General features: G+C 46.5%; 1 protein-coding gene and 1 non-coding gene across 2 annotated transcripts, besides 4 other annotated features; both read left to right on the top strand.

Moving 5' to 3' along the window:
- The first annotated feature begins 275 nt into the window (after positions 1-275).
- GPRC5A (G protein-coupled receptor class C group 5 member A) lies at positions 276-26651 on the top strand. The gene is made up of 4 exons (NM_003979.4): positions 276-378; positions 16957-17885; positions 20798-20856; positions 21161-26651. Exons 2-4 carry the CDS (start codon positions 16964-16966, stop codon positions 21251-21253), a joined length of 1074 nt encoding a protein of 357 aa, NP_003970.1. The 5' UTR covers positions 276-378; positions 16957-16963; the 3' UTR covers positions 21254-26651.
- Positions 14495-14639: an enhancer, noted in NCBI's record as "145 bp 12:13058787 sequence used in MPRA reporter constructs". NCBI's record gives its function as "activates a minimal TATA-containing promoter with rs850936 allelic activity by MPRAs in C283T melanocytes {active_cell/tissue: C283T}" and the evidence as "EXISTENCE:reporter gene assay evidence [ECO:0000049][PMID:36423637]".
- Position 14567: a transcriptional cis regulatory region, noted in NCBI's record as "rs850936 or 12:13058787 MPRA-significant variant associated with a GWAS melanoma risk locus at 12p13.1". NCBI's record gives its function as "allelic transcriptional activity by MPRAs in C283T melanocytes {active_cell/tissue: C283T}" and the evidence as "EXISTENCE:reporter gene assay evidence [ECO:0000049][PMID:36423637]".
- Positions 15489-15633: an enhancer, noted in NCBI's record as "145 bp 12:13059781 sequence used in MPRA reporter constructs". NCBI's record gives its function as "activates a minimal TATA-containing promoter with rs850934 allelic activity by MPRAs in UACC903 melanoma cells {active_cell/tissue: UACC903}" and the evidence as "EXISTENCE:reporter gene assay evidence [ECO:0000049][PMID:36423637]".
- Position 15561: a transcriptional cis regulatory region, noted in NCBI's record as "rs850934 or 12:13059781 MPRA-significant variant associated with a GWAS melanoma risk locus at 12p13.1". NCBI's record gives its function as "allelic transcriptional activity by MPRAs in UACC903 melanoma cells {active_cell/tissue: UACC903}" and the evidence as "EXISTENCE:reporter gene assay evidence [ECO:0000049][PMID:36423637]".
- Positions 24543-24632, top strand: MIR614 (microRNA 614). The gene has a single exon (NR_030345.1). It is a non-coding gene; the product is annotated as a microRNA 614 (primary transcript).
- Positions 26652-26688: the final 37 nt, after the last annotated feature.

Here is a 26688-nt window from a genome sequence, read left to right on the forward strand (position 1 = left end):
TGAGCACGTCTCGGAGGAGTCCGATGCGCTGGGCAGGGCCGGGTGGTCACCCCCGCCCAGCTTCCAGGGGTGACTGTGCCTCTGACGTCAGACGGTTTTTGGGTCATTCCCTGGCACGGGGACTTTATTTTCATAACAGCATGAAGTGCCGTGGAACTGGAATAGGCGTGTCCTCTCCCTCGACCCTCCCCCTCCTTGTCCCTCTGCTCACCCCTCGCTCGTTCCCTCCCTCCGGCGAGGGCCGCCTTTATAACAACTGCTCAGAGTGCGAGGGCGGGATAGCTGTCCAAGGTCTCCCCCAGCACTGAGGAGCTCGCCTGCTGCCCTCTTGCGCGCGGGAAGCAGCACCAAGTTCACGGCCAACGCCTTGGCACTAGGGTAAGTGAGGCGCCAGGAGCCCAGAGCGCTGGGGCCTCCGGATTTAAATCGTCTGGGGAGAGCGGGGCGTTGGGAGGGGTGGGATAGAAGAGGAGAGAAATCCTGGTAATGGAATACAGTTGGCTATGAGAAAAAAATTCCCTAGGAAACAGTTCCTCTAGTTTAACAACTCAGATTTTTTTTTTTTTTTTTCCCCTTTGCGGGTTTCCTAGGCTAAGATAGAGGCAGAGAGCAAAGAGATAATCAGGGTAATAGTTTCTGCTCGGACACATTCTACAAACTTTGAGTAGATGGAATCCGGCCAGGCAGGAGGTGAGCAGCTCTGGGATCACTCTGCAGGAAAAGAATAGAGGGAGAAAGATCTCAGAGGACCCGAAGGTACTGGGAGTGGAGGGGGAGTGGGAAACAAGGGGCAGGGGCAGGAGGGAGGACACGGTGACAGCTACTATTTTACCCAGATGCTGCAAAAAGCCCTTCTGAGTTTTGGGAATTAGATCTAGAAGCCCATCCCTTTTCTCTTGATGTGTGGGCGGTCAGTTCCACTCTGGTGTGCCTTGAGTTGCTCAGAAACCTGGGACAGATGAAAGTTGAATGTGCGCTGAGAGTGCACCTTCCACTACCGACTTTATGGATAGGATTTGGGAATAGCATAGATGCTGTTCCATCTGGTCCCTTAAACATCCATGGGGAAGGCTGGCAAATAGCTTTATTTTATTTTTTGAGATGGAGTTTCACTCTTGTTGCCCAGGCTGGAGTACAATGTTGCGATCTCAGCTCACCGCGACCTCCACCTCCCGGGTTCAAGCGATTCTCCTGCCTCAGACTCCCGAGTAGCTGGGATTACAGGCATGCACCACCACTCCTGGTTAATTTTGTATTTTTAGTAGAGACGGGGTTTCCCCATGTTGGTCAGGTTGGTCTCAAACTCCCGACCTAAGGTGATCTGCCCGCCTCAGCCTCCCAAAGTGCTGGGATTACAGGTGTGAGCCCCCGCGCCCGGCCACAGATAGCTTTAAACATCCATGGGAAAGGCTAGCTAACAGCTGAAACCTGCTCAGAATCAAGGAATTTGAAGGACTTTCCATTCCTGACTTCTTTCCATTCCTGATTGTCTCCTCAGAGGCTTGTGTAAACACCACACCTGTTGAAGGGTTCGGCCGAATCAGCCACTGCTGTGGGTTCATTCCTGAAGGGGAACACTTCAGCTACTTCAGACACAATGGGCTAGGGACCACGGGAGGGGTGAGGGCGGAGGGGGCACACACCCTCCAGGTTTGCATGCCGGTGTCTGCTAGGTGAGGGAAGGAATGAGGGGAAGGAAGGGCCGGGAGAGGCGCTACGTGGGAAACAAGGGACCTCTCCAAGGGCGTGGAGAGGTGAGTGCCTCAAGGGCAGAATGGAATGAGCAGAACCCTTTGGTTTCCCGGGAAGAGCTCTCAACCTTGAGTCAGGAAGACTGATTTCTCCTCCCAGCTCCGCAGGAACATGGAACTGTGATCAGGCAAGGGGCTGGGCCTGAGTTCCTCATAGGGGTCTTGGGGAGGCCCCCAGTTTCCCCTCCTGTGTTTCGATTCTGGCCCCTCTCCATCTGCACACGTCGCCTTGGAAGTTCCCTTTAGAACTGGCTTTTTTGTATTCTAGTCTTGAATGGTAATCGAAGACAACAGGGTATGAAGAACAATTTTGACGGCGTGATTTTATTCTTCTCATTCTGGGTCCACTACTATTTAAAGTCCCAAGATTAAGCTGAGGAATTAATATGGTGGTATAGTAAACAATAAATTGAGGAGTATTTTTGCTTGAGGAATCTTTGACTTCCTGAGTAGTTCAGGGTGTTTGCTTCTTTTATTCTCATTTTTATTGCACTGTGGTCAGACTATATGGTCTGCACATTTCTTATTTTCTAATTCCAGATTTGTCTTTGTATTCTAAATATGCTCATTTTTGGCAAATGTTCCATTTGGACCATGGACCATAGTTCCTATTAAGCAATCATAATAGAGTAGAGATGGCAAACTATGGTCCATGGACCAAATATGGCCTATAGCCTCTTTCTGTAAATAAAGTGATTTTTGTTTTGTTTTGTTTTGTTTTTGTTTTCGTTTTTTTGAGATGGAGTCTCGCTCTTGCCCAGGCTGGAGCGCAGTGACGTGATCTCGGCTCACTGAAACCTCTGCCTCCCGGTTTCAAGGTTTCAAGCCATTCTCCTGCCTCAGGCTCCCAAGTAGCTGGGATTACAGGCGCCCGCTACCACGCCTGGGTAATTTTTGTATTTTTAGTAGAGACAGGGTTTCACCATGTTGGCCAGACTGGTCTCAAACTCCTGACCTCAGGTGATCTGCCTGCCTCGGCCTCCCAAAGTGCTGGGATCATAGGCATGAGCCACAACCTGTAATCCACTATTTTACTAAAACACAGCAATGCTCATATGTTTATGTATCATCTATGCTGCTTTCATGCTACAAATGTGTGGCTTGCAGAGTCTTAAATTGCTTATAACCTGGCCCTTTATAGAAAATCTATGCTGATCACTGATATAGAGGATCTGAATTATATGATTAGTAATGGAGATCTAATAAGATATGAAGATAGAGAATATTTCTATTTAAGTATCCATAGAACATTTACACAATTTTACCATGTTCTTATTCATATTGTATATTTTATCTGCCAAGGACTGGTAAAGAAGTATGAAAGTCTCATGCAACTATAGTATTGCCTTTGGGTTCTCCTTGTATTTTCAGCAGTTATTTATTTATTTTGAGACAGGGTCTTGCTCTGTTGCCCTGGCTGGAGTGCAGTGGCACAATCTTGGCTGACTGTAACCTCCACCTCCCAAGCTCAAGTGATCCTCTTGCCTCAGACTCTTGAGTAGCTGGGTCTACAGGCACCCACCACTACACCTGGCTAATTTTTAAATTTTTTGTAGAGATGGGGTTTTGCCATGTAGCCTAGGCTTGACTCAAACTCCTGGGCTCAAGCAATCTTCCTGCCTTCACTTCCCAAAGTGCTGGGATTATAGGTGTAAGCCTCTGTACCCAGCCTTCAGTACTTTTTGTTTTACGTATTTTGGTGCTATATTAGTTGGTGCATAAAAGTCTAGGATGGTTTTTTTTTTTTTTTTTTTTTTTTGAGACAGAGTCTCGCTCTGTCACCCAGGCTGGGGTGCAGTGGTGCGATCACGGCTCACTGCAAGCTCTGCCTCCCGGGTTCACGCCATTCTCCTGCCTCAGCCTCTTGAGTAGCTGGGACTACAGGTGCCCGCCACCATGCCCGGCTAATTTTTTGTATTTTTAGCAGAGACAGGGTTTCACCGTGTTAGCCAGGATGGTCTTGATCTCCTGACCTCGTGATCTGCCCGCCTCAGCCTCCCAAAGTGCTGGGATTACAGGCGTGAGCCACCGTGCCCGGCCCAGGATGGTTTTATCTTCAGTGTAGAGCATCCCTAATTATTATAAAACAAGCCTTTTGGTCAATATAATATCTTTTTGCTTTGATTACAACTTTGTATGATATTAAAACCTTAACTTCTACTTAATTATTTTACCTTGAACAACTTACTTAACTTTGTGTCTGACACATAATACTTGTTAAATAAATATTATGTTAGTATTTCTTTTTATTTTCATTTCTTTCTGTTCTTTTGCTTTTAACTCTTGTGTATCTTTTTGTTTTAGGTTAGGTTCTTCTAGGTATGATATAGTTTAGTCTTTTTTTTTTTCAAAATAGTTACCATTTACATTTCTTGTAATAATAGTTACTTGTTATTGTCATCTAATTTTAGGCTATATGGTTTGGTTGTCTCCATCTCCTTCTGCATTAGACAGTATATATCATATCATATTTTTAGATCTACTAGCAACTGAGTAGATGGTAGTGCCATTCTCAGGGCTTTGAAAGATAGGCTTGTAAGGAGAGGTGATCAGTTTAGCTTTGAACTTGTTGGATCCAGTGAATATTACCCTTATGTATCAGAATAAGATATTTAAATGAAGGGATCTTTGAGAGCCTTAAGATAGTATACTAGTAGAGGGCCGGCGCGGTGGCTCACACCTGTAATCCCAGCACTTTGGGAGGCTGAGGCGGGCAGATCACGAGGTCAGGAGTTCAAGACCATCCTGACTAACACAGTGAAACTCTGTCTCTACTAAAAATACAAAAAAAAAAAAAAAAAAAAAATTAGCCGGGCGTGGTGGTGGGTGCCTGTAGTCCCAGCTACTCGGGAGGCTGAGGCAGGAGAATGGTGTGAACCCAGGAGGTGGAGCTTGCAGTGAGCCGAGATCACGCCACTGCACTCCAGCCTGGGCAACATAGTGAGACTCTGTCTCACAAAAAAAAAAAAAAAAAAAAAGGATAGTATACTAGTAGAGGACTTCACTTTATTTTCCTATTTTCTGGAAATTTCATTTCTTTGAATTCGGGCATAAGAGATTTAGAAGCTTCACTCAAATATTAAGCTTTATTTAAAAAGATGATTTCCAGTATTTCATTTTATATTCACATTAATCAAGTCTACATGTTTCGTTTAGAGTAACAGGAAGATGGTAATACGCCCAGGGAACTATCTGGAAGTGTAGAAATTGGGATGAACACCGTGGTTATACTTGTTTTGATCTGCCTGTGGTGCTATGATGACTTATTTTCTCTCATTATTGCATAGAAACTCAATTCAGTGATGTTATTCAGATGTTATTCATAAGTTATTGCCATGATTCATCACTTTTATGTCATCAGAGTTGGGATGGCTACCCAGAATAGGGGATCCTGGAGATTTCCCTGTAGACGCTTTGCATTTATAAATAATCCTTTATCAAGGGCAGAGGGATTTCTGTAGGACTTCTCCCTTAGAAGAACTCAGCCTGGGTAGAAATACGAGGATTAACATCAGCACATATTCATCTCCAAAAAATTTTCCTCCCCATTACTCACACTTGCCAATAAATAACTTGCTTTGGGTAAATATTCAGCACTCAGTCTTAGTCCAAAGCATTTGCTCAGCAATCACTGTGTAGAGTACAGAGTAAGGGGGATACCAACAAATAGAAGTTTGCTCTATTTTCTTAAGAAGCTTGTTGTCTGGCCAGGCACGGTGCCTCACGCCACCTTCCTATCTTCCTAGGAGATAGATGCCACAAAGAAGCTTGTTGTCTGATAGGCAGCTCAGCAGTGATATTAATTTGTAATATATAACAAAGATATGGAAAAACTTGAGTGCCAAGAAATATTTAATTGTAAAAACCATGAAGAGATCGACACATTTAGAGTGCAATAGGATTTCAAGTCCAGGTGTGATGGCTTACGCCTGTAATCCTAGCACTGTGAGAGGCTGAGGTAGGTGGATCACTTGAGCCCAGGAGTTCGAGACCAGCTTGGCCAACATAGCAAAACCCTGCGTCTACTAAAAATATAATAATTAGCTGGATGTGGTGGCGCATGCTTGTAATCCAAGCTACTTAGGAGGCTGAGGCACAAGAATCGCTTTAACCTGAGAGGCAGAGGCTGCAGTGAGCTGAGATCATGCCACTGTACTCCCAGGCTGGAGTACAGAGCAAGACCCTGTCTTAAAAAAAAAAAAAAAAAAAAGGCCATAGGATTAATAGTAATAATGATAATAATTTAAAAAACTCATGATAGAGGTTAAATCTTGGGCAAAGTTTTGCAGAAATATGGTAAGTGGATCATAAATAGGAGGGAGAGGATCTTTCTGGTTAGGAGAATAATTCATGTGTTGAGGCAAAGAGCATGAGAAGACCTTAAATGAACCCAAATTCCCTTCCAGATGGAAAATACAGAACTCTAGGAAGATTTGCTTGCCTTGCACGGAGGTGGAGACGGGAGTTAGGGAGGAAGGAGGAGATAGGTGGGAGGACTAATTGGAGAAAGGCCTTGAAGCTCAAACTGGGGCTGGATCTGCCGTGACAGACAAAAAGGAGCGAATACGCTTCTTTTTTTTTTTTTTTTTGAGACCATGTCTCACTCTGTTGCCTAGGCTGGAGTGTAGTGGCGTGATCTCAGCTCATTGCAGCCTCTGCCTCCTGGGTTCAAGCGGTTTTTGTGCCTCAGCCTTCTGAGTAGCTGGGACTACAGGCGTGAGCCACCATGCCTGGTTCATTTTTGTATTTGTAGTAGAGATGGAGTTTCACCATGCTGGCCAGGCTGGTCTCTTAACGCCTGACCTCAGGTGATCTACCCGCCTCGGCCTCCCAAAGTTCTGGGCTCACAGGTGTGAGCCACTGCGCCCGGCCGATAATTTCTTTTTAACCTCCTTTGCGGACTCCTACCTAGATGAGATGGTGCTCCACATGGTTCTGTCCTTGGCTTCCCATGTGATCTTGTCTCCTCTTGAGGCTTCAGATACCACTCTAGGTGATGACTGCCAGTCTGTGCTTACAGCCCAAACCTCTCCTGAGCACCAACCCATATGCCCACGGTGCAGAGACAGCACAACCCAGTGTCAAGGAGCCTGGCTTTTAAGAGTCATGTAATCTTGGGCAAGTTATGTAATTTCTCTGTGCCTCAGTTTCCTCAGCTGTTAAAGGAAGGCATAATAATAGGGTTGTTGTGAGGATTAAATAACACCATATATGGCCAGGAGCAGTGGCTTGTGCCTGTAATCCCAGTACTTTGGGAGGCCGAGGCGGGCAGATCACCTGAGCCTCAGGAGTTGAAGAGCTGCCTGGGCAACATAGCGAGACCCCACCTCTACAAAAAATACAAAAAGTAGCTAGATGTGGTGGTGCGCACCTGTCCCAGCTATTCAGGAGGCTGAGGTAGGAGGATCACCTGAGCCCAGGAAGTCGAAGCTGCCGTGAGCTGTGATTGTGCCATTGCATCACTCCAGCCTGGGCGACAGAGAGACTTTGTCTCAAAAGAAAAAAAAAAAGAAAAAAGAAAGGAAACCATATATGGCTCAGAGGAAACTCTCAAGAGGACTTGGGTCTTTTGACTTGTTATTCCTGGATAGCTCCACGTGCAGGTCGCATATTTATCAAAGAGCCAACAAAGCTACACTTAGCATCTCTCCTTTCAAGCCTGTATTTCTAGGCTCTGACAGTGGTGCCACTCAGTTGCCTAAGCCAGAAATCTGGGAGTTAACCTGGGCTTTTCCATTCCCAAAGCCCTGTCTCTTCTACCTTCATAAAAATCTCCTACCATTTCCTGTTCATCTTTCATGTTTCATCTCCCTGCTTTCTTCCCTAAAGCATTAAACATTAAAAATAATTATTTTAAAACCCCACTAGGTAGAATGGGTCACTGTTTTCCATGTGCCCTCAGCATTCCTAATGTATTCCATAACTTCTTAGTTGTATGTCAGTGTGATTATTATTCATTCCAAGGGCAGTGGCCACAATTTTATATTTATTTATTTAGTTTTTTGTTTTGAGACAGGGTCTCACTCTGTTGCCCAGGCTGGAGTGCAATGGCATGATCATAGTTCACTGCAGCCTCGAGTTCCTGGGCTCAAGCAATCCTCTTGCTTCACCCTCCGAGTAGGGGGATCACAGGTGTGATCCTGGCTAAATTAGCACCCGGCTAATTTTTAATTTCTTTTTGTACAGCGGGGGTCTCACTATGCTGCCCAGGTTGGTCTCAAACTCCTGGGCTCGAGTGGTCCTCCCATCTCTCGGCCTCTCAAAGTACTGGGATTACAGGCGTAAGCTACTGCCCCCGGCCAGGGTTGCTTGTTTTGGAGACTTCTCAGCAAGCCAATGCTTGAATATATGGTGGTTTAAATGGAGAGAGGTTGGGGTCAGGGAGAAAAGCTCTAGAGATGATGACAGTGATTTAGAGGTGAAAAGGAGGATTGAATTATGATTATGACTACTTATAAAGAGCTATTCTTTCTGACCATGTGACACTGGACATGTACCTTCCTCACTCTGTTAGGTTTCTCACCTATAAAATGGGCTGTAGGAATGTTAAATGAGGTAATGGATGTAAAAGCATGTAAATGAGAGAATATGTGTAAAAATACATAACTACTCAGCATAGTGCCTGACTCATAATAGGACTCAGGAGGTGACAGTAGCTGTCATTATTCTTACTCATAATTACATCATGACTGTTATTACTACTGACTGAATGTAGCAATTCGAGAATAGAGAAAAAATGAAAATGCTAGAAAGTCACACATTTTCAGGGCTGGGCTGGCGCGAAGACACATTTTGACAGAATGAGAGAAATCTCATAGGAAGGAAGACAAAGTCAGTTTGTCTTTGCAAGGTTCTGGGCCCCAGATGATTCATTCTCAGATGCTCTGGGAAGGACTGCGTAGAATAAGCATGGGCAAACTTCCAGGCCTAGTCACAAGCAACTCTACACACTTTCCCCATCTCTCTGGTTGCGAAGAGGAGTCTCAGGTTAGAAACCCAAAGCGGGAGACTCATCACATGTTCACGTTTTTCCCTGCACAGTGGTCAGTGCTGTGTGTCAGTCAAGGCCATGTCTAGGGTCAGCGCTGCTCCAGGAGCCTCTGGCTTTGTCCTTCAGGTGGGCAGTCCCTTGCTGTGTCTCTTCTTCAGACCCTTCAACCTTACCTCTAGCCCTGGCTTTTAGTTTGGGTAGGAGTTTGTGGCACATACTCTTTTAATGACAGGAGATGGGGCAAGAATGAGGATGAGGGGGAGAAAGAAAGACATCTGGAAGTTTTGTACATGAAGCTCCCCAGGTGGGTGAACGGTGGAGCTGAACATGAGTTCAGACCACGTAGTTCAGCAGCGTGTCCTGCATTTTATAGATGAGAGGAGGCTTTGAGAGGTCAAGTGACTTACTTGTTCACACAGCCTGGCAGCTGAAACCCCTTCTCCCTAAAGGGGAGGAGGAACAGAGGGCTTGGAGTTGACCCAAGAAATGACTTCGCCCTCCTCTTCCTTTCCTCCCTCTTCCTCTTGTTCTTATTCTTCCCTTCCCTCTCCCTCTTCCCCACTGGTTTTTCTAAACCTTTCTTTTGGGGCCGGGCACAGTGGCTCACGCCTGTAATCCCAGCACTTTGGGAGGCCGAGGCGGGCCTGAGGTCGGGAGGTCGAGACCAGCCTGACCAACATGGAGAAACCCCATCTCTACTAAAAATACAAAATTAGCCGGGTGTGGTGGCACATGCCTGTAATCCCAGCCACTCGGGAGGCTGAGGCAGGAGAATCACTTGAACCTGGGAGATGGTGGTTGCAGTGAGCTGAGATCATGCCATTGCACTCCAGCCTGGGCAACAAGAGTAAAAACTCCGTCTCAAAAAAAAAAAAAAAAAAAAAACAAAAAAAAAACAACCCAGAAAAACCCAAAAAACAAACAAACAAAAGAACCAAAAACCCCTTTCTTTCATGCCTAGATTCATTCCAAAAAGGTTTAAGACAGCAACAAGTGATTCCAGGATCTCAGCTGTGGGCATCCTTGTGTTACTGGATGGCTGTGTGTTAATTGTTAGCAGCTGGAATAAGTGAAGAGGGTCTCGTCCTCATACTCAAAGTCCTTTGCTCATGCCCAAGGCCAGAGGCTACTCATGCTGAAACATTACCATCTCCCTCCAAAGTGCAGGGTTTAGTCACTGAGTACTGGGTGGAGCACATGACTGGATCCCAGTTAATCCCTCCCAGCTTACCAGTAAAACCTCAGGATTCATGCTTTCCTGGGAGCCACCTGCGGCCACTAAGATAGGAGCGGGGTTCAGACATGGCCAGGCGCTCCTAATCTCAGACCCAAAGTGCAATTTTTGGCAGCCTGCATGAGAAGGAGGGTGGGAGGAAAGGTGGCTAGAACCAAGGGTAGCAGCCTGGGGGCTTGAGAGGAAACCAGGCACAGCCCATCCTACCCTGTCTCACGAGCAGCCCGTCCTCCTCCTGACTCCCCTTACCCCACACACCGAGCGCCATTCTCTTGCTGCCTCATCTATTCTGGTTAGGTACTTACTGAGCATCAGGTGCTAGGCAAGTGGCTGGGGAGAGACAACGTTTAATGACTCAGTCTCCGCCTGCACAGAGCCTTTGAGTCTAGAGGGAGACACAGACTTACTGACAGGCTGGGTTGTGTAATAAGTGCTACGGGAGGAAAAGCTGAGAGTGTCTGAGAATTTATGAGATGTGTGTCTCATCAGACTTGGGCATCAAAAAAAAAAAAAAAAAAAAACCATCCTGGAGGAAAGGACCTCTACGTCAAGTGAAGGGTGGGGTCCATTTGGTTTTTATAGGAGCAAGTTCTTTGTTGGCTGGACTCTAGATCTCCCGTCCTTTGACTTTGGTTACAAATAATATCCAAACCACCGCTAGTCTCATTCTCTTTTCTCTTTCCTGCTCTAGCCCTTTGCTCCTCTCCCAGGCTGTTTCTCTAGCTCCAGACAGTTCATATTCCTAAATGCTGATCACTTCTCTTTTCCCTCTCAAATGCTGCTTTCTAGAAATCATTTTCAGTTTTTCAGAACCCTGTCCATCTCTTCCAATCCCCTGGTGTCTTTCCCTTACCTGGGTCATTCTCTGGGCAACATGGCACCCTTTCAGTGCAGACTTGTTTATTAATAACTCCAGTGAGTTTTATTTTCCTCTTACTAAATTCAAAGTACTCAGAACATTTTAGACTTGTTGAGCAATCCCTATCAGCTTAGGGATGGGGTGGGGGAGGCTAACAGAGGTGAATTAAGAATGATAATTCCAAACTAATTAGTCATCCAGATTAAAAAAAATAGACTAAGATGGTTTTTTTTTTTTAAAGACATTTGTGAGAGAATTGGGAAATATGAATCCTAACTAGATAGTTGATAATAAAGGATTCTTGTTAGTTATTAAAGTGTGGTTAAGAAGGAGTTTTTATCTTTTAGAGAGACGTTCTAGACTGGACATGGGGGCTCACACCTGTAATCCCAGCACTTTGGGAGGCCGAGAGGGGGAGGATCCTTTGAAGCCAGGAGTTCAAGACCAGCCTGGGGAACATAGCAAGACTCCATCTCTAAAAAAATAAAGATTAAAAAAATTAGCCAGGTGTGGTGGCATGCGCTTGTAGTTTCAGCTTCTTGTGGGTGCTGAGGTGGGAAGATACCTTGAGCCCAGGAAGTCAAGGCTCCAGTGAGCCACAGTCACACCACTGCACTCCACCCTGGGTGACAGAGTGAGAATCTATCTCAAAAAGAAAAAAAAGGGCTGGGCACGGTGGCTCACGCCTGTAATCCCAGCACTTTGGGATGCTGAGGTGGGTGGATCAGCTGAGGTCGGGTATTTGAGACCAGCCTGATCAACATGGAGAAACCCTGTCTCTACTAAAAATACAAAATTAGCCGGGCATGGTGGCGCATGCCTGTAATCCCAGCTACTCGGGAGGCTGAGGTAGGAGAACCGCTTGAACCTGGGAGGTGGAGGTTGCCGGGCGCCGATATCGCGCCATTGCACTCCAGCCTGGGCAACGGGAGTGAAACTCCGTCTCAAACAAAAAAGAAAAAAGAAAAAAAAATACACATACTATTTATAGATAAAATTACATGATGTCTGAGACTTGCTTAAAAATAGTCTAGGGAGTGGGGTGGGGAATGCAGACGAAGCAAAATTGGCCATATAGTAATAATTTTTTGAAATGAAGTGCTGGATACATGGGACTCCATTATAAAACTTTCTATAATGAAAACAAGTTTTTTTTTAATTTTTAATTTTTTAAAAATAGACACGGTCTTATTCTATCTCCCAGGCAGAATTGCGGTGACGTGATCACAGCTCACTGCAGCTTCGAAATCCTGGGCTCAAGCAATTCTCCTATCTAAGTCTCTCGAGTAGCTGGGACTACAAGTGTGCCCCTCCGCACCTGGCTAATTTTTACATTTTTATTTTTCTAGAGACAGTGGTCTCACCATCTTGCCCAGACTGCTCTTGAATTCCTGGGCTCAAACGATCAGCCCGCTTCGGCCTCCCAAAGTGCTAGGATTAAAGGCCTGAGCCACTGCGGCTGGCCTAAATAATGTTTAAAAGGAACTTCAAGAACTATTTCTCCATTCCCTGTTGCATGATTGGGAGGTGGGAGGTGGAGGTGACATTTGGGGAAACTGGTTTTTTCTTCTCTTTACACCCACTGCCATTACTTTTGTTGGATCCTGGTCTGTGGGTTCTATAAGGCCCTGAGACTCAGCACCCTCCTGCGCAGCTGCGCTGGAAGAGGAGCCTATAGGTTCTAGATGGGGGCTCTGCCTTCCCTCCTGTCTGTCCAGTACCAGAACTGTTCTTGAGGCAAACACCACATCAATCTCTGTCAAGATTTAGAGTCATCAGGTTCAAAGTCCCTCATAACGATCCTGTCCCTCATAACAATCAGGTAATTATGAAAACAACTACTTGTCCACAAACAGTAATACCTGATGGGTGGGGAAGGAGCAATTGGCAGAGAGGGGCAGGGAGAGGGAGAGATCAAAGGGAAGAGGGAAATACCTTTCCTGCTAGACAACACCCTGGTGATTAATCTGCCGGGGTGTGGAGAGACACAGTGAAGTGCACAGGGCCTGAGTTCCTTCCGCTCGCCGCCCTTGAAGGAAATAGGGTCTTCCTCTTCCACATTCACGGTGTAGCCTGGGAGAGCCCTCATACTTCCTCTTTCTTATGTCAAAGAGGGGACCAAAGAGGGGACATTTGTAGGCAAGACGGATCAGACTTGGGTGCTTGGATTGCAGGGGCTGTCTATATCTGAACCTCATTTGCCTTTTTCTTCCTATTTCTCATTCTGCACTGCCCTGTAGAGGTATAGCCCATTCTTTGTGCTCTGCTTGTGGTAGCGATGGCTGTGGTGTAGCTTCCAGGAGGGTAGAGTGTTTAGGTGACAGACCCACTGTGAGGGAAGGCGGTGGGAGGCCCATGGCCATAGTGACAGGTGCCATCCGTCTCTCTCTTCTACTGTGGTAGAAGTGGAAACGTGTCTGTTTCTGGCTTTACCATGGAGTGCTTAGAGCAGTGATCAGCACATAGTGGTGCTCGGTAAATATTTGTTGAATGAATGACTACATAAAATAAAGTTGAGATTGGAGAGCCAAATTTTATTAAAATTCGGGAAGATCGATTTAAGCTATATCTGGTGTCACTTTAACACACTATACATAATATCGTGATAATATATATTCACATGATATTCACATATGTATCATACATATGTATGTATATGTATATATTGCATATATACATATGTACAATCTTCCTACTTGCTATATGAATTAAATAATTTTGGTAAGATGACTATCTCTTCTAGTGGAAAAGAAAATTTTGTGGTTTTTTTTTTTTTTTTTTTGAGATGGAATCTCTCTCTGTCACCCAGCCTGGAGTGCAGTGGCATGATCCCCGCTCACTGCACCTCTGCCTCCCGGGTTCAAGCAATTCTTCTGCCTCAGCCTCCCGAGTAGCTGGGATTACAGGTGCGTGCCACTATGCCTGGCTAATTTTTGTATTTTTAGTAGAGACAGGGTTTCGCCATGTTGGCCAGGCTGGTCTCAAACTCCTGACCTCAGGTGATCTGCCCGCCTTGGCCTCCCAAAGTGCTGGAATGGCATAAGCCACTGTGCCCGGCCAAGAAGGTTGTTTTTTCCGAGCTGTTTTTTCTGCTCTAAGGAAAGAGGCAGGATTCAGGGGATGCTTTGTATCTTTTCCTGCTTCCCAACCCGAGTCCTTCCTCTTGTTTTGGATTTCTTGCTGCATCATCTCTGTCCTTCTTTAGGGCTGGAGGTGACCTCTGCGAGCCTTCCCTTCCTCTAACTCTGGCCTCTTTCCTGCTGCAACATAGTTCTCTTCTAGTCCGTTCAAAACTTTTTATTGCCACGTGAACAATCTCATTGGGAAACAAAAAACTCAAGAAAAAAAATCCCATGCCCAAAAAGCATGGAACACAACAAAAAGAATAGTGTAGAAGACACTTAAATAAGCAATAAAATAATTTGAATGAAATTGTTGACAAACTGGACTATAGTTATGTCTAGCCTTGTTGAATCTCAACATCTTATTCGACATTGACTTTGGAATTTGTGAGCCACCTGTTTTGAGGAAATGGGGACACTCCTTTCTCTTTTTCGATTTCCCAATTTATCTTCCCACTTGTGCCCTGAATCCTGAGGACTTAGATTTCCTAGGGGTATGGTCAAGGAGCTGGGTCTAAAATTCACACGAAGATTGTAGGGGCAGAGAAAGAAGCCTTTCTCCTGACAAAGGACAGATATATGGGAAGTAAACTGTAATACAGCTAGTGGCTTCCTGATTATCCGAATGAGTAAGTAGATTTCTCACTTTGTGGATGGTCCGTTACCTGGGATCTCCTATCCTCCTGGGGCTGAACTAGGAGAGTGGAACCAGAGTCATAATGAGGCATCTGATGAGGGGAGGGGTAGGGAGAGAGAGAAAGAGACGTAGAGAGGAGGAGAGAGAGAAGGATATCTCAGATCTCATTTTAAGGCTAATTTGAGAGGAGACACGTAGAGTACTTGAGAACCTGGGTCCTGGCACCAGACAACCTGGATTCAGATCCTGGCTGTGCCATTTCCTGGTTGTATGATGTTGGGCATGTAACTTGACTTCTCTGCCTCAGTTTCCTCATCTGTAAAATAGGATAATAGTTTTACCTCATAGGGTTGCTATGAAATGAAGTAAGTAATGTATATATAGAGTGATTAGAAGTAAAAATTCGAGGCTGGGCGGGGTGACTCAACACCTATAATCCCAGCACTTTGGGAGGGCAAGGCAAGAGGATTAATTGAGCCCAGGAATTTGCGACCAGCCTGGGCAACATGGTGAAACCCCATCTCTACAAAAATACAAAAATTAGCGGGGTGTGGTGGCACACGCCTGTAATCCCAGCTACTCAGGAGGCTGAGGTCGGGGGAGGATGGCTTGAGCCCAGGAGGTGGAGGTTGCAGTGGGTCGAGATCCAGCCTGGGTGACAGAGCGAGGCTCTGTTCCCCCCATCCCCCCAAAAAGGAGTAAAAATTGGAGCAATACTAAAAATGAACATGTTAGCTATGAAGATTATTTTTTGTTGGATTACCCGCTATTTATGTGCCATCCAGGACGTTCCTCTTTACAGGTAGCCAATTTAGAGCTGGTTATGACAGACAAGACCCCTTTCATAACTTTTCGGAATTAGTGGAGCCATCTTTACACATCTTAAGGAGGAGGCCGGGCACGGTGGCTCACACCTGTAATCCCAGCACTTTGGGAGGCTGAAGGAGTTTGAGATCAACCTGAGGTCGGGAGTTTGAGACCAGCTTGACCAACATGCAGAAACCCCATCTCTACTAAAAATACAAAATTAGCTGGGCATGTTGGCGCGTGCCTGTAATCTCAGCTACTCAGGAGGCTGAGGCAGAATTGCTTGAACCCAGGAGGCGGAGGTTGCGGTGAGCCAAGATTGTGCCATTGCACTCCAGCCTGGGCAAAAAGAGCGAAACTCCGTCTAAAAAAAAAAAAACAAAAACTCAAAAACAAATCTTAAGGAGGAGGGGCAGAATAATTCTGAACCACAGAGCCTAAGAAGAGGACCCAGCCGCTGGCTCAGAAGGGAATGCTCGGCCTTCTGTAGAAAAATCTGCTATTCAGAGACCATCATGGGTAACACGGTGAAACCCCGTCTCTACTAAAAATACAAAAAAAAAATTAGCCGGGCATGGTGGCACATGCCTGTAGTACCAGCTACTCTGGAGGCTGAGGCAGGAGAATCACTTGAGCCCGGGAGGCGGAGCTTGCAGTGAGCCGAGATCGTGCCACTGCACTCCAGCCTGGGCGACAGAGCGAGACTCTGTCTCAAAAAAAAAAAAAAAGAGAGAGAAAGAAAAATCTACCATTCAGATAACTCCTCTTATCCATGAGAGAATAGGATGCTTACAAATGATAACTGTATCAGGGCCAAAGGTAGAGGCTGCAACGTTATGATTAAAGTGTTAACTTCAAGTTTAGATAGTTCCATGTTCACTAATTCCTAAGAAAACACTAGTAAAAAAATATCAGGAACCCTGGCAGGTTATTTGTAATATATACACGTATATATATTTCAAGAGACAGGGTCTTGCTCTGTTGCCCAGGCTGGGGTGCAGTGACGTGATCATAGCTCACTGCATCCTTGAACTCCTGGACTCCAGCGATATTCCCACCTCAGCCTTTTGAGTAGCTGGGACTACAGGTGCGTGCCACCATGCCCAGCTAATTTTTTAATATAAAGATGGAGTCTTGCTATGTTGCCCTGTCTGGTCTCAAACTTCAGAGAGCAAATGATCCTCCTGCTTCAGACTCCTGAAGTGCTGGGATTATAGGCATGAGCCAACACGTCCAGCCCTGTGAAGTTTTTTGAGATTAGGCTTCAAAATACCTCTTCAGAGTGTTAGGTTCTCTGGCTTTAAGGTAAATATTAATATAGTTAAACTGGGGGAAGGGACATATGGGATTTCTTCCTGGTTCTTCAACAGGTTTTAGAATTTACTACAGGAGGTAGAGGAAAGTTAGTAGCTTTACTTAATGTAGTAAGCTCAAAGTCAAAACCCTGGCTAAACATGCAAAATTGGTTTCCTAATCCTTTTTTAGTCTTCTGTGTCTGAGGACTGTGTTAGGAGATTCAATACCTTCTCCCCACTCCAACATTCCTTTTCTGCAGGTCCAGAATGGCTACAACAGTCCCTGATGGTTGCCGCAATGGCCTGAAATCCAAGTACTACAGACTTTGTGATAAGGCTGAAGCTTGGGGCATCGTCCTAGAAACGGTGGCCACAGCCGGGGTTGTGACCTCGGTGGCCTTCATGCTCACTCTCCCGATCCTCGTCTGCAAGGTGCAGGACTCCAACAGGCGAAAAATGCTGCCTACTCAGTTTCTCTTCCTCCTGGGTGTGTTGGGCATCTTTGGCCTCACCTTCGCCTTCATCATCGGACTGGACGGGAGCACAGGGCCCACACGCTTCTTCCTCTTTGGGATCCTCTTTTCCATCTGCTTCTCCTGCCTGCTGGCTCATGCTGTCAGTCTGACCAAGCTCGTCCGGGGGAGGAAGCCCCTTTCCCTGTTGGTGATTCTGGGTCTGGCCGTGGGCTTCAGCCTAGTCCAGGATGTTATCGCTATTGAATATATTGTCCTGACCATGAATAGGACCAACGTCAATGTCTTTTCTGAGCTTTCCGCTCCTCGTCGCAATGAAGACTTTGTCCTCCTGCTCACCTACGTCCTCTTCTTGATGGCGCTGACCTTCCTCATGTCCTCCTTCACCTTCTGTGGTTCCTTCACGGGCTGGAAGAGACATGGGGCCCACATCTACCTCACGATGCTCCTCTCCATTGCCATCTGGGTGGCCTGGATCACCCTGCTCATGCTTCCTGACTTTGACCGCAGGTGGGATGACACCATCCTCAGCTCCGCCTTGGCTGCCAATGGCTGGGTGTTCCTGTTGGCTTATGTTAGTCCCGAGTTTTGGCTGCTCACAAAGCAACGAAACCCCATGGATTATCCTGTTGAGGATGCTTTCTGTAAACCTCAACTCGTGAAGAAGAGCTATGGTGTGGAGAACAGAGCCTACTCTCAAGAGGAAATCACTCAAGGTACAGATGCAGCCTGGCTAGGCAGAGAATCCCTTGTAGAAAGGTGGGGGAGAATCATAGGATATTATAACTGTAAGGAACATGCAAGATTTTCCAGATTATACCCTTGATAGAATAGATAAGTTCCTTAAGGCTCAGATCTTGCTTAAAGTCGTCCAGCCTGTTAGAGACAAGTAGAACACGAAGCTGGCCTCTGGAGTCTTTATTGAGTACTTTGTACAATTGGTGTAGACTGGGAGAGCCCTCCTCACTTCCCCTTTCTTGTGCTGTAATTTCCTGTGGGGCAGAACACCTCAGAGGTTTCTGTGCATCAAAATAAGATGCAGCAAAGACATGGAAAAAGGATAACGAGACAAATTCCCAGCAATAAGTAGATGAGGTTGTGTTTTTTATAAAAGATAACGAGGCATTCCTTCCAGAAATGTGGAGCCTTTGTAGATTTCAGTGCATAAAACCAAGCCATGATTTCCTGCAGTGATCACAGAGCAGAGAAGGGAGAAAGCCCTTTTATCACAAACCAGCAGGAAGTCTCTGTAAAATTGGTAAGGATTCTGGTTTAGTGTGAAGAACCACATTTTTTGTGTATGTTTCTGGGCCCATGGGAAGGAACAGATCATATTTGACATACAAGAATCAAATGATTCAGGCCAGGCATGGTGGCTCACTCCTGTAATCCTAGCCCTCTGGGAGGCTGAGGTGGGAGGATTGCTTGAGCCCAGAAGTTTGAGACCAGCTTGGGCAAAATAGCAAGACTTCATCTCTATTTAAAAAAAAAAAAAAAAAAAAAAAAAGAATCAAGTGATTTTGCTCTTATCTGGAGTTGAGACAAGCCAGATGTTCTCGTGTTGTTTTCATAAGCAAAAGAGGCTAAACTGATGGCCAGAAAGTACTCCTGCTCATAGGGACCTATTCATTGGTCTCCAGGGTTTACACTGACCTTTAAGTCTAATCACAGGGGGTGGGTGGTTTTGGGATAGGAATGAGGAACCTCCAAGGCCATGTTCTTAGCTCCAGCTAAAAATAGGTCTTTCCTTTGCTCTTAAGCCTGAGGTGTGGAACTTCCTGGTGCTACTCACTGCAGCTATGGTCCCTGTCTAGGGCACTTGGAAGTCTGAAGGGAGGCGGAGGAGGGCAGGAGGGGTTATTTAACCACCCAGCCCCTCCTGTCCGTTCCGTGGCTTCACTCCATCACCTCACTCCTGTACTTCCTGTTCTCATTCACTGATGAGTCTTCCTTCCTTCATTCATTTCAAGGGCCACTGTCAGCTTTCTCCCTTAAAATGCTTCTCTGGCCTCCATGCTTTGCTGCTCACTTTCCTCCCTGGGTCCCCTGAGCCACCCCATCCCATCAAATCCTTCCTGAGCCCTTCCACAGTTGGAACCAACAACCTCTGAAGCTTTGCTCGCAGTCCAGATGAACCAAGTCGCTGTGCTTTCCTGCCTGTGCCTGTGCTCCAGGTGTGTCTGTCCTCTGCCTGGTGTGACCATCTCCCTCTTCTGCCCTTCTCCAGGATCAGGCATTCCCCAGTTTCCCCTGGTAATCACTCCACCCTGTGCATCTGTAGGACTTTGAAATGCTCTTATCAGGGTCTGTCTCATTGCACTGTTATTTATGTACCTGTCATATGTTCCTTACTCTCCAGTGTCAGCTGCAAGGAGGGATCATTCTGGTTAATCTTTATGTGCTTCACCATCTCTCTCTTTTTTTTTTTTTTTTGAGACAGAGTCTCGCTCTGTCACCCAGGCTGGAGTGCAGGGACATAATCTTGGCTCGCCACAAGCTCTGCCTCCCAGGTTCAAGCAATTCTCCTGCCTCAGCCTCCCGAGTAGCTGGGATTACAGACGTGCACCATTATGCCCAACTAATTTTTTTGTGTTTTTAGTAGAGACGGGGTTTCACCATCTTGGCCAGGCTGGTCTCGAACTCCTGACCTCATGATCCGCCCGCCTAGGCCTTCCAAAGTGCTGGGATTACAGGCATGAGCCACCGTGCCCAGCCACGATCTCTTAAATAAAGGCGTTTAAGTGTTTGTTCAGCAAATTGGGCCCATAAATTTGGTGGGAAATAAATGAATTGCTTTGAACTGCATTCATGATGATTGCATGTGTTTATCCTTGTTTCCCAAGCCTTTGGTTTTCCCCAAATACACAGAAAACAGTTGCTCATCAATCCTGCCTCTTCCCAATGAAAATGATACAAATATATACATATTTTCCTTGTCAGGCAGTTGAAATAGGTAAATCCCCAGTGAGATTCACTCTAGGTACACCCCTGGCCAGATCTATATCTGAAATGACTGGTTTTTATGACTTTTTCTTTTTTTTTTTTTTGTTTGAGACAGAGTCTTGTTCTGTCGCCCAGGCTGGAGTGCAGTGGTGCGATCTCGGCTCACTGCAAGCTCCACCTCCTGGGTTCACACCATTCTCCTGCCTCAGCCTCCCGAGTAGCTGGGACTACAGGTGCCCGCCACCACGCCTGGCTAATTTTTTGTATTTTTAATAGAGATGGGGTTTCACCTTGTTAGCCAGGATGGTCTCGATCTCCTGACCTTGTGATCTGCCCACCTCGGCCGCCCAAAGTTCTGGGATTACAGGCGTGAGCCACCATGCCCAGCCCATGACTTTTCAAATGTGCTTTTGAAGTGGTCCTAGGATGAGGTGGGGCTCTGGTGAAGTTCTGAAAAGGGGCGTCCCTAGTCATCATAGTTATTCATTCATTCAACCAATATTGTGTTTGCTTTGTGCCTGGTCCTAGGCTTGAGGACCTAGTCTCTGTCCCTCCAAGAAACTTAAGGTCTGCTGGAGAGACAGGCAATTAAATGGGCAAGATGTCACACTGTGATAAGTGATACAATGGGGTGAACATAGGTGGGGGCCCCAGTGGTTTAATTTCTCCTGTTCCTCCATTTCAGGTTTTGAAGAGACAGGGGACACGCTCTATGCCCCCTATTCCACACATTTTCAGCTGCAGGTAAGTGATTTTTTTCTCCCTCTTCATCAAAGGCATTAGCACCTCAGGAACACTGATCCTTTGGAAACAGACGATGTTACCTTTCTCATGGCCCCTAGATGGCCACTTGAAGGAATGATGGGTCTTCTTTCCTCTAAGCGGCCTCACGGGGTTAGTGGGTAAGAATGAGTGCTTGGCATAGAGAGGACTTGGGGGTGGGAGGCCTGGGAGAAAGGGAAGGAAATGAGACTTCTGCCCAGACTGGAGACCTGTTGAAATGGCAGGAACTGGAGTGGGTTTCACGATATGACTGTTTCCTTTTCAGAACCAGCCTCCCCAAAAGGAATTCTCCATCCCACGGGCCCACGCTTGGCCGAGCCCTTACAAAGACTATGAAGTAAAGAAAGAGGGCAGCTAACTCTGTCCTGAAGAGTGGGACAAATGCAGCCGGGCGGCAGATCTAGCGGGAGCTCAAAGGGATGTGGGCGAAATCTTGAGTCTTCTGAGAAAACTGTACAAGACACTACGGGAACAGTTTGCCTCCCTCCCAGCCTCAACCACAATTCTTCCATGCTGGGGCTGATGTGGGCTAGTAAGACTCCAGTTCTTAGAGGCGCTGTAGTATTTTTTTTTTTTTGTCTCATCCTTTGGATACTTCTTTTAAGTGGGAGTCTCAGGCAACTCAAGTTTAGACCCTTACTCTTTTTGTTTGTTTTTTGAAACAGGATCTTGCTCTGTCACCCAGGCTTGAGTGCAGTGGTGCGATCACAGCCCAGTGCAGCCTCGACCACCTGTGCTCAAGCAATCCTCCCATCTCCATCTCCCAAAGTGCTGGGATGACAGGCGTGAGCCACAGCTCCCAGCCTAGGCCCTTAATCTTGCTGTTATTTTCCATGGACTAAAGGTCTGGTCATCTGAGCTCACGCTGGCTCACACAGCTCTAGGGGCCTGCTCCTCTAACTCACAGTGGGTTTTGTGAGGCTCTGTGGCCCAGAGCAGACCTGCATATCTGAGCAAAAATAGCAAAAGCCTCTCTCAGCCCACTGGCCTGAATCTACACTGGAAGCCAACTTGCTGGCACCCCCGCTCCCCAACCCTTCTTGCCTGGGTAGGAGAGGCTAAAGATCACCCTAAATTTACTCATCTCTCTAGTGCTGCCTCACATTGGGCCTCAGCAGCTCCCCAGCACCAATTCACAGGTCACCCCTCTCTTCTTGCACTGTCCCCAAACTTGCTGTCAATTCCGAGATCTAATCTCCCCCTACGCTCTGCCAGGAATTCTTTCAGACCTCACTAGCACAAGCCCGGTTGCTCCTTGTCAGGAGAATTTGTAGATCATTCTCACTTCAAATTCCTGGGGCTGATACTTCTCTCATCTTGCACCCCAACCTCTGTAAATAGATTTACCGCATTTACGGCTGCATTCTGTAAGTGGGCATGGTCTCCTAATGGAGGAGTGTTCATTGTATAATAAGTTATTCACCTGAGTATGCAATAAAGATGTGGTGGCCACTCTTTCATGGTGGTGGCAGCAGTTACCAGTAATGAGCATTAGACTCTGGGGGATAGAACACGGGCTGCCCTGAGAGCTTCATGTTGGAGCTGAAGTTCAAGGTTCACTTCCTTTGGGTTTGTACTTGACCCTTCTTCATGTGTCTCTCCCGTTCCCTCTAAAACAAGTGTGTTTCCCCTCATTTTTGAGGCTGTCAATGGTGTGAGAGCCAGGATCATCACGGGGCCTGAGGTTTTACTCCAGAAAAGCAGAGGAGTGGCAACCTTGGCTTGGGGTTTGGCAGCCCAGGAAAGGCAGGGAGGAGAGCTCAAAGCCGGTTTCATGTTTCACCCAAGGTCTAATTGTGGGAGAGGACAAATCCAGATCCCCTGTTTGACAGAATTAGTTCACAAATGTCTCTTGGCAAAAACATGTGACACCTAACCATGATAATTGACTTAATCCAAGAAAGAGCTCTGTAGGGCAGAGCAATAGGAAATCTCTCTTTCGTTATGGAAAAAAAATAATCCCTCTACATAGAAACTGAGTGACATGTAAAAATGTGTAGCTAAGTCAGGGAGTTACTTCCTAAGAGCCTGACGCTCTGCTTTTCATCAAAAGGAAAAACCAGCGTGAGGCAGAGGCGAGGGAGGTGGAGGTGAGTGGATGATGTGCTGAGTTAGGGATGTTTATATGCCGCAAAGGTTTGGTTGGTAGGCTTCGCGCTAAGATTAGCCTGGCTTTGTACTGAAAAGGGGGAAGGACACATAGTGACACAGATCCTTCTGGTCTTTCCCAGGAGGTGTGACCTAATGAGGTTTGTTGTGAGAATAAAGCAATGTGGTTTCACATATATTATCTATCATAGGCTAGGGACTCAAGAAATGCATATTCCCCCCCCACTTTCTTTCTCTCTTTCCTTCCTTCCTTCCTTTCTTCTTTCTTTCTTTCTTTCTTTCTTTCTTTCTTTCTTTCTTTCTTTCTCTCTCTCTCTCTCTCTCTCTTTCTTTCTTTCTTTTTGAGATAGAGTCTCACTCTGTCATCCAGGCTGGAGTGCAGTGGCATGATCTCAGCTCACTGCAGCCTCCGCATCCTGGGTTCAAGCGATTTTCGTGCCTCGGCCTTCTGAGTAGCTGGGATTACAGGCGTGCGTGCGCCACCACGCCTGGCTAATTTTTGTATTTTTAGTACAGACGAGGTTTCACCATGTTGACCAGGCTGGTCTTGAACTCCTGATCTTAAGTGATCTGCCCGCCTTGGCCTCCCAAAGTGCTGGGATTACGGGTGGGAATCACCATGCCCAGCCTCCTTTCCATCTTTTCTTTCCTTCTCTGGTCTTCATACTACCAACCAAGCAAGGGAGGAGGAGTAAAAGGTAAAATCACAAAATACTCTGGATCGGCATTTTTTTTTTTTTTTTTTTTTGAGACAGGGTCTAGCTCTATGGCCCAGGCTGGAGTGCAGTGGCACAATCATAGCTCACTGCAGCCTCAACTTTCTGTGCTCGAGTGATTCTCCTGCCTCAGTCTCCTGAGTAGCTGGGACCACAGACGTGCACTACCACACTTGGCTAATTTTATTTTTTCAGAGATCACATGTGGTTTGAGGGAGGATAGAGAGGACAGGGTGTCAAGAACAGCATTTTTACCAAGTTGATATAAAAATGAAACAGGATCCAGGCATGGGTCTTTACACTGATAGTTACAGTAAGTTTTAAAATCTGAGCAGCAATTTGAATCACTTGTTGAAAAACACACAAAATATATTTTTTGTAGAGGTGGGGGTCTTGCTCTGTTGCCCAGGCTGGTCTTGAACTCGAGATTCTCCTGCTTTGGCCTCCCACAAGTGCTGGGATTACAGGCGTGAGCTACTGCACCCGGCCTGCTTTCTTTTTAGTGAAAAGGATCTGTGGGAGCTTTTATTCCCATGGCTGCCTTCCTCAAGTCAACCTCTTTCCCCGGAAATGGCATCATCTCTGGACTGTTGTTTCTCCTTCTTCCTTCTCCTCCTTCTCCTCCTCCTCCTCCTCCACCATGCCCGGCTGATTTTTGTATTTTTAGTAGAGACAGGGTTTCACTATATGGGCCAGGCAGATCTCGAACTCCAAACCTCGTGATCCACCTACCTTGGCCTCTGAAAGTGCTGGGATACCGTGGCCTCTGAAAGTGCTGGGATTACAGGCATGAGCCACCGCGCCCGGCCCCGTTGTTTCCCTTCTAAGAAACGCAGTGGTCTCTGAAGCCTGCAGGGGCAGGCCAGCCCTGCACTGAACGCCTGTTCTTGCCAGGTGGCAGAAGGTTGCTGCTCATTTGAGCAGTACCTGTCACCCCTCCTCCCACTGCTGCGGCTGTTAACTCATCTTCAGGTCTCACACCTTCTGCACATAAATAAGCTATTTTTAAAAGTTATTATTTTTTTACTCTTTCTTTTCTTTGGAGAGGGTACCAAAGGATAGCTGTTCTGTTTAAGTAGGGACCTCTCATGGCCTACAGGCTTTGACATCTGAGAATCAAACTGGAGAACATTCCGAAGCCGTTCTTATAAGTGTCTCCATCTCTACCTGGGCTGAAATGGAATGTGCAAATGTAGCCCAGCCTGGTCCTTGGGTGTTGCCAGTTGATTGATGACTGGGAGCCAAAGTGGCATCTCCTTTGACCTAAACGGGCGATGATGAAATAAAACTCAACAGCCTTTCTCTCATCTTGCATTGTGAGATGCGAAATAGAGCGTGTCTCTCTGCCTCTCATTTTAGGCTGAGGCCGTCCAAAGCGGCCATGCCCCATGTTTCCACTAGATGGCGCTGACACTTCAGGCATCAACCCTCATGGCCTCTCAGCCTTGCAAAGGCAGCCACTTAAAGTCGGTGTCCTGTGTGGGGCACCAAGCTGAGCTGCAGACACCCAGTAGGCGCGAGGCAAATGCGTCCCATTTTAAGAGGCTTGTATTTATGAGCTCTTTGCTTCCTCCCTCCCACTAACTTTAAAGAATTGCTCTCCATCTCCTTTGGCAAAGTTCCTTTGCCCTTTGTCTTATTTTTGTGAAACCCTCCAAGGTATTTCCAGTCCATTTGCATCCAATCTGGCATCTTTACGGAGAGCGGTCTCATATGCTATTGTTGTTAACGTGGACTAGTATTTATGTGTTGAGAACACTGGCTGTTTGTCAGGAAAAGTGTGCCAAAACAAAGAGTACGGCCGGCCCTGGAAATGCATCAGCAAAACCCATTTCCCCCGTGCACTCATTCTGAGCTTCCTTCCTTCATTTCTGTCATTACTGCTGAGAACTGGACTGTGCCCAGCTGACCTTTCCCTTCCTTGCCCTCATCTTGCTGCCAGGGTCTGCAGGTTTGCCACCGTCCCGGCCCCAGTCTGAAACATGGGATTATTTCAGAATTGGAGGTGGCAGCTTCAGAAAAAAATCCTTCTCGTGTGTTGACTGCTGAGATCCAGGAACTGGGAAATCAACCCCCAGTTTGTAGATTGCTCTCTTTGGAAATTCTGTGGCCCAACCTCGTGGCTGTTTTCTGGAATTCCTTCTATCGGGGCAGACAGTGCTGTGCCTTTCTTGACTTCAGGATGTTCCAAGGATGCTGCTGGATCTGTGTGTGTGTGTGTGTGTGTGTGTGTGTGTGTGTGTGTGCGTGCGTGCGTGTATGTGCGCCTGACCCTGATTTCTGCAACCTCCAGATTTCTTTCTTGACCCTTCAAAGTGGAACAGTCCAGTGCCAAAAATTTTAGAGTTTGAGAAGGTCACAGAAATCCTCTAGTTGGTGCCTCCACAGTCTTCATTTTACAGAGGAACTCAGGGCTAATGGAGTTAATGCAACTAGATCAGGGTTTTGGGTCTGTGTTCTTTCTACCGTCAGCACCTGTGTGGTCAATTCTGGACACTTCCCAGAGAAGTCTTTGAGTAGAGAATCCTACTCAAATTTCACTGTATATTTTAAGCATTCCTCTCCTTTCCCTTTGCCTCCCCTGTTGCCTTTTCTTCCCCTGATTTCTCCTCTGGTCATCTCCTCTCCCTTCTGCGTGTAAGCCATGGGAAAGGGATGAGGGAGGACAGCTTCTGGTTAAACACAGGTCCCTCTTCCACATCAAATGAACATTGGCTTCCTGGGACAGAAGGCCTTCAAAGGAGGGATTGCAAAGCAAGGCAAAGCGTTCTGTCTTCATTTTCCCCATCCCCATGAGACAAGACTGATGGAAAGGGTGGTGGGGCAACACTGCTTAATGGATGCCTTTTCACATCATTTCAGTTTTTAGCCCTCATGACTGTATTTTCTAATCAGAGACAATAACATTTTAAATAAAACAACGACAAAGAAGTCTGAGTCAGGTGGTAAAATTTGTTGTTTTCAAGCA

Source organism: Homo sapiens, chromosome 12 (genome assembly GCF_000001405.40).
Source record: "Homo sapiens chromosome 12, GRCh38.p14 Primary Assembly".
In the NCBI taxonomy this organism is placed as follows: domain Eukaryota; kingdom Metazoa; phylum Chordata; class Mammalia; order Primates; family Hominidae; genus Homo; species Homo sapiens.

What these genes read in the sequence shown, in the direction of transcription:
- GPRC5A (NM_003979.4), top strand. Translation starts at nt 16,964, where the DNA reads ATGGCTACAACAGTCCCTGATGGTTGCCGCAATGGCCTGAAATCCAAG. An exon ending in TCAAGAGGAAATCACTCAAG is followed by an intron (nt 17,886 to 20,797) that starts GTACAGATGCAG and finishes CCTCCATTTCAG; the next exon opens with GTTTTGAAGAGACAGGGGAC. An exon ending in CCACACATTTTCAGCTGCAG is followed by an intron (nt 20,857 to 21,160) that starts GTAAGTGATTTT and finishes TTTCCTTTTCAG; the next exon opens with AACCAGCCTCCCCAAAAGGA.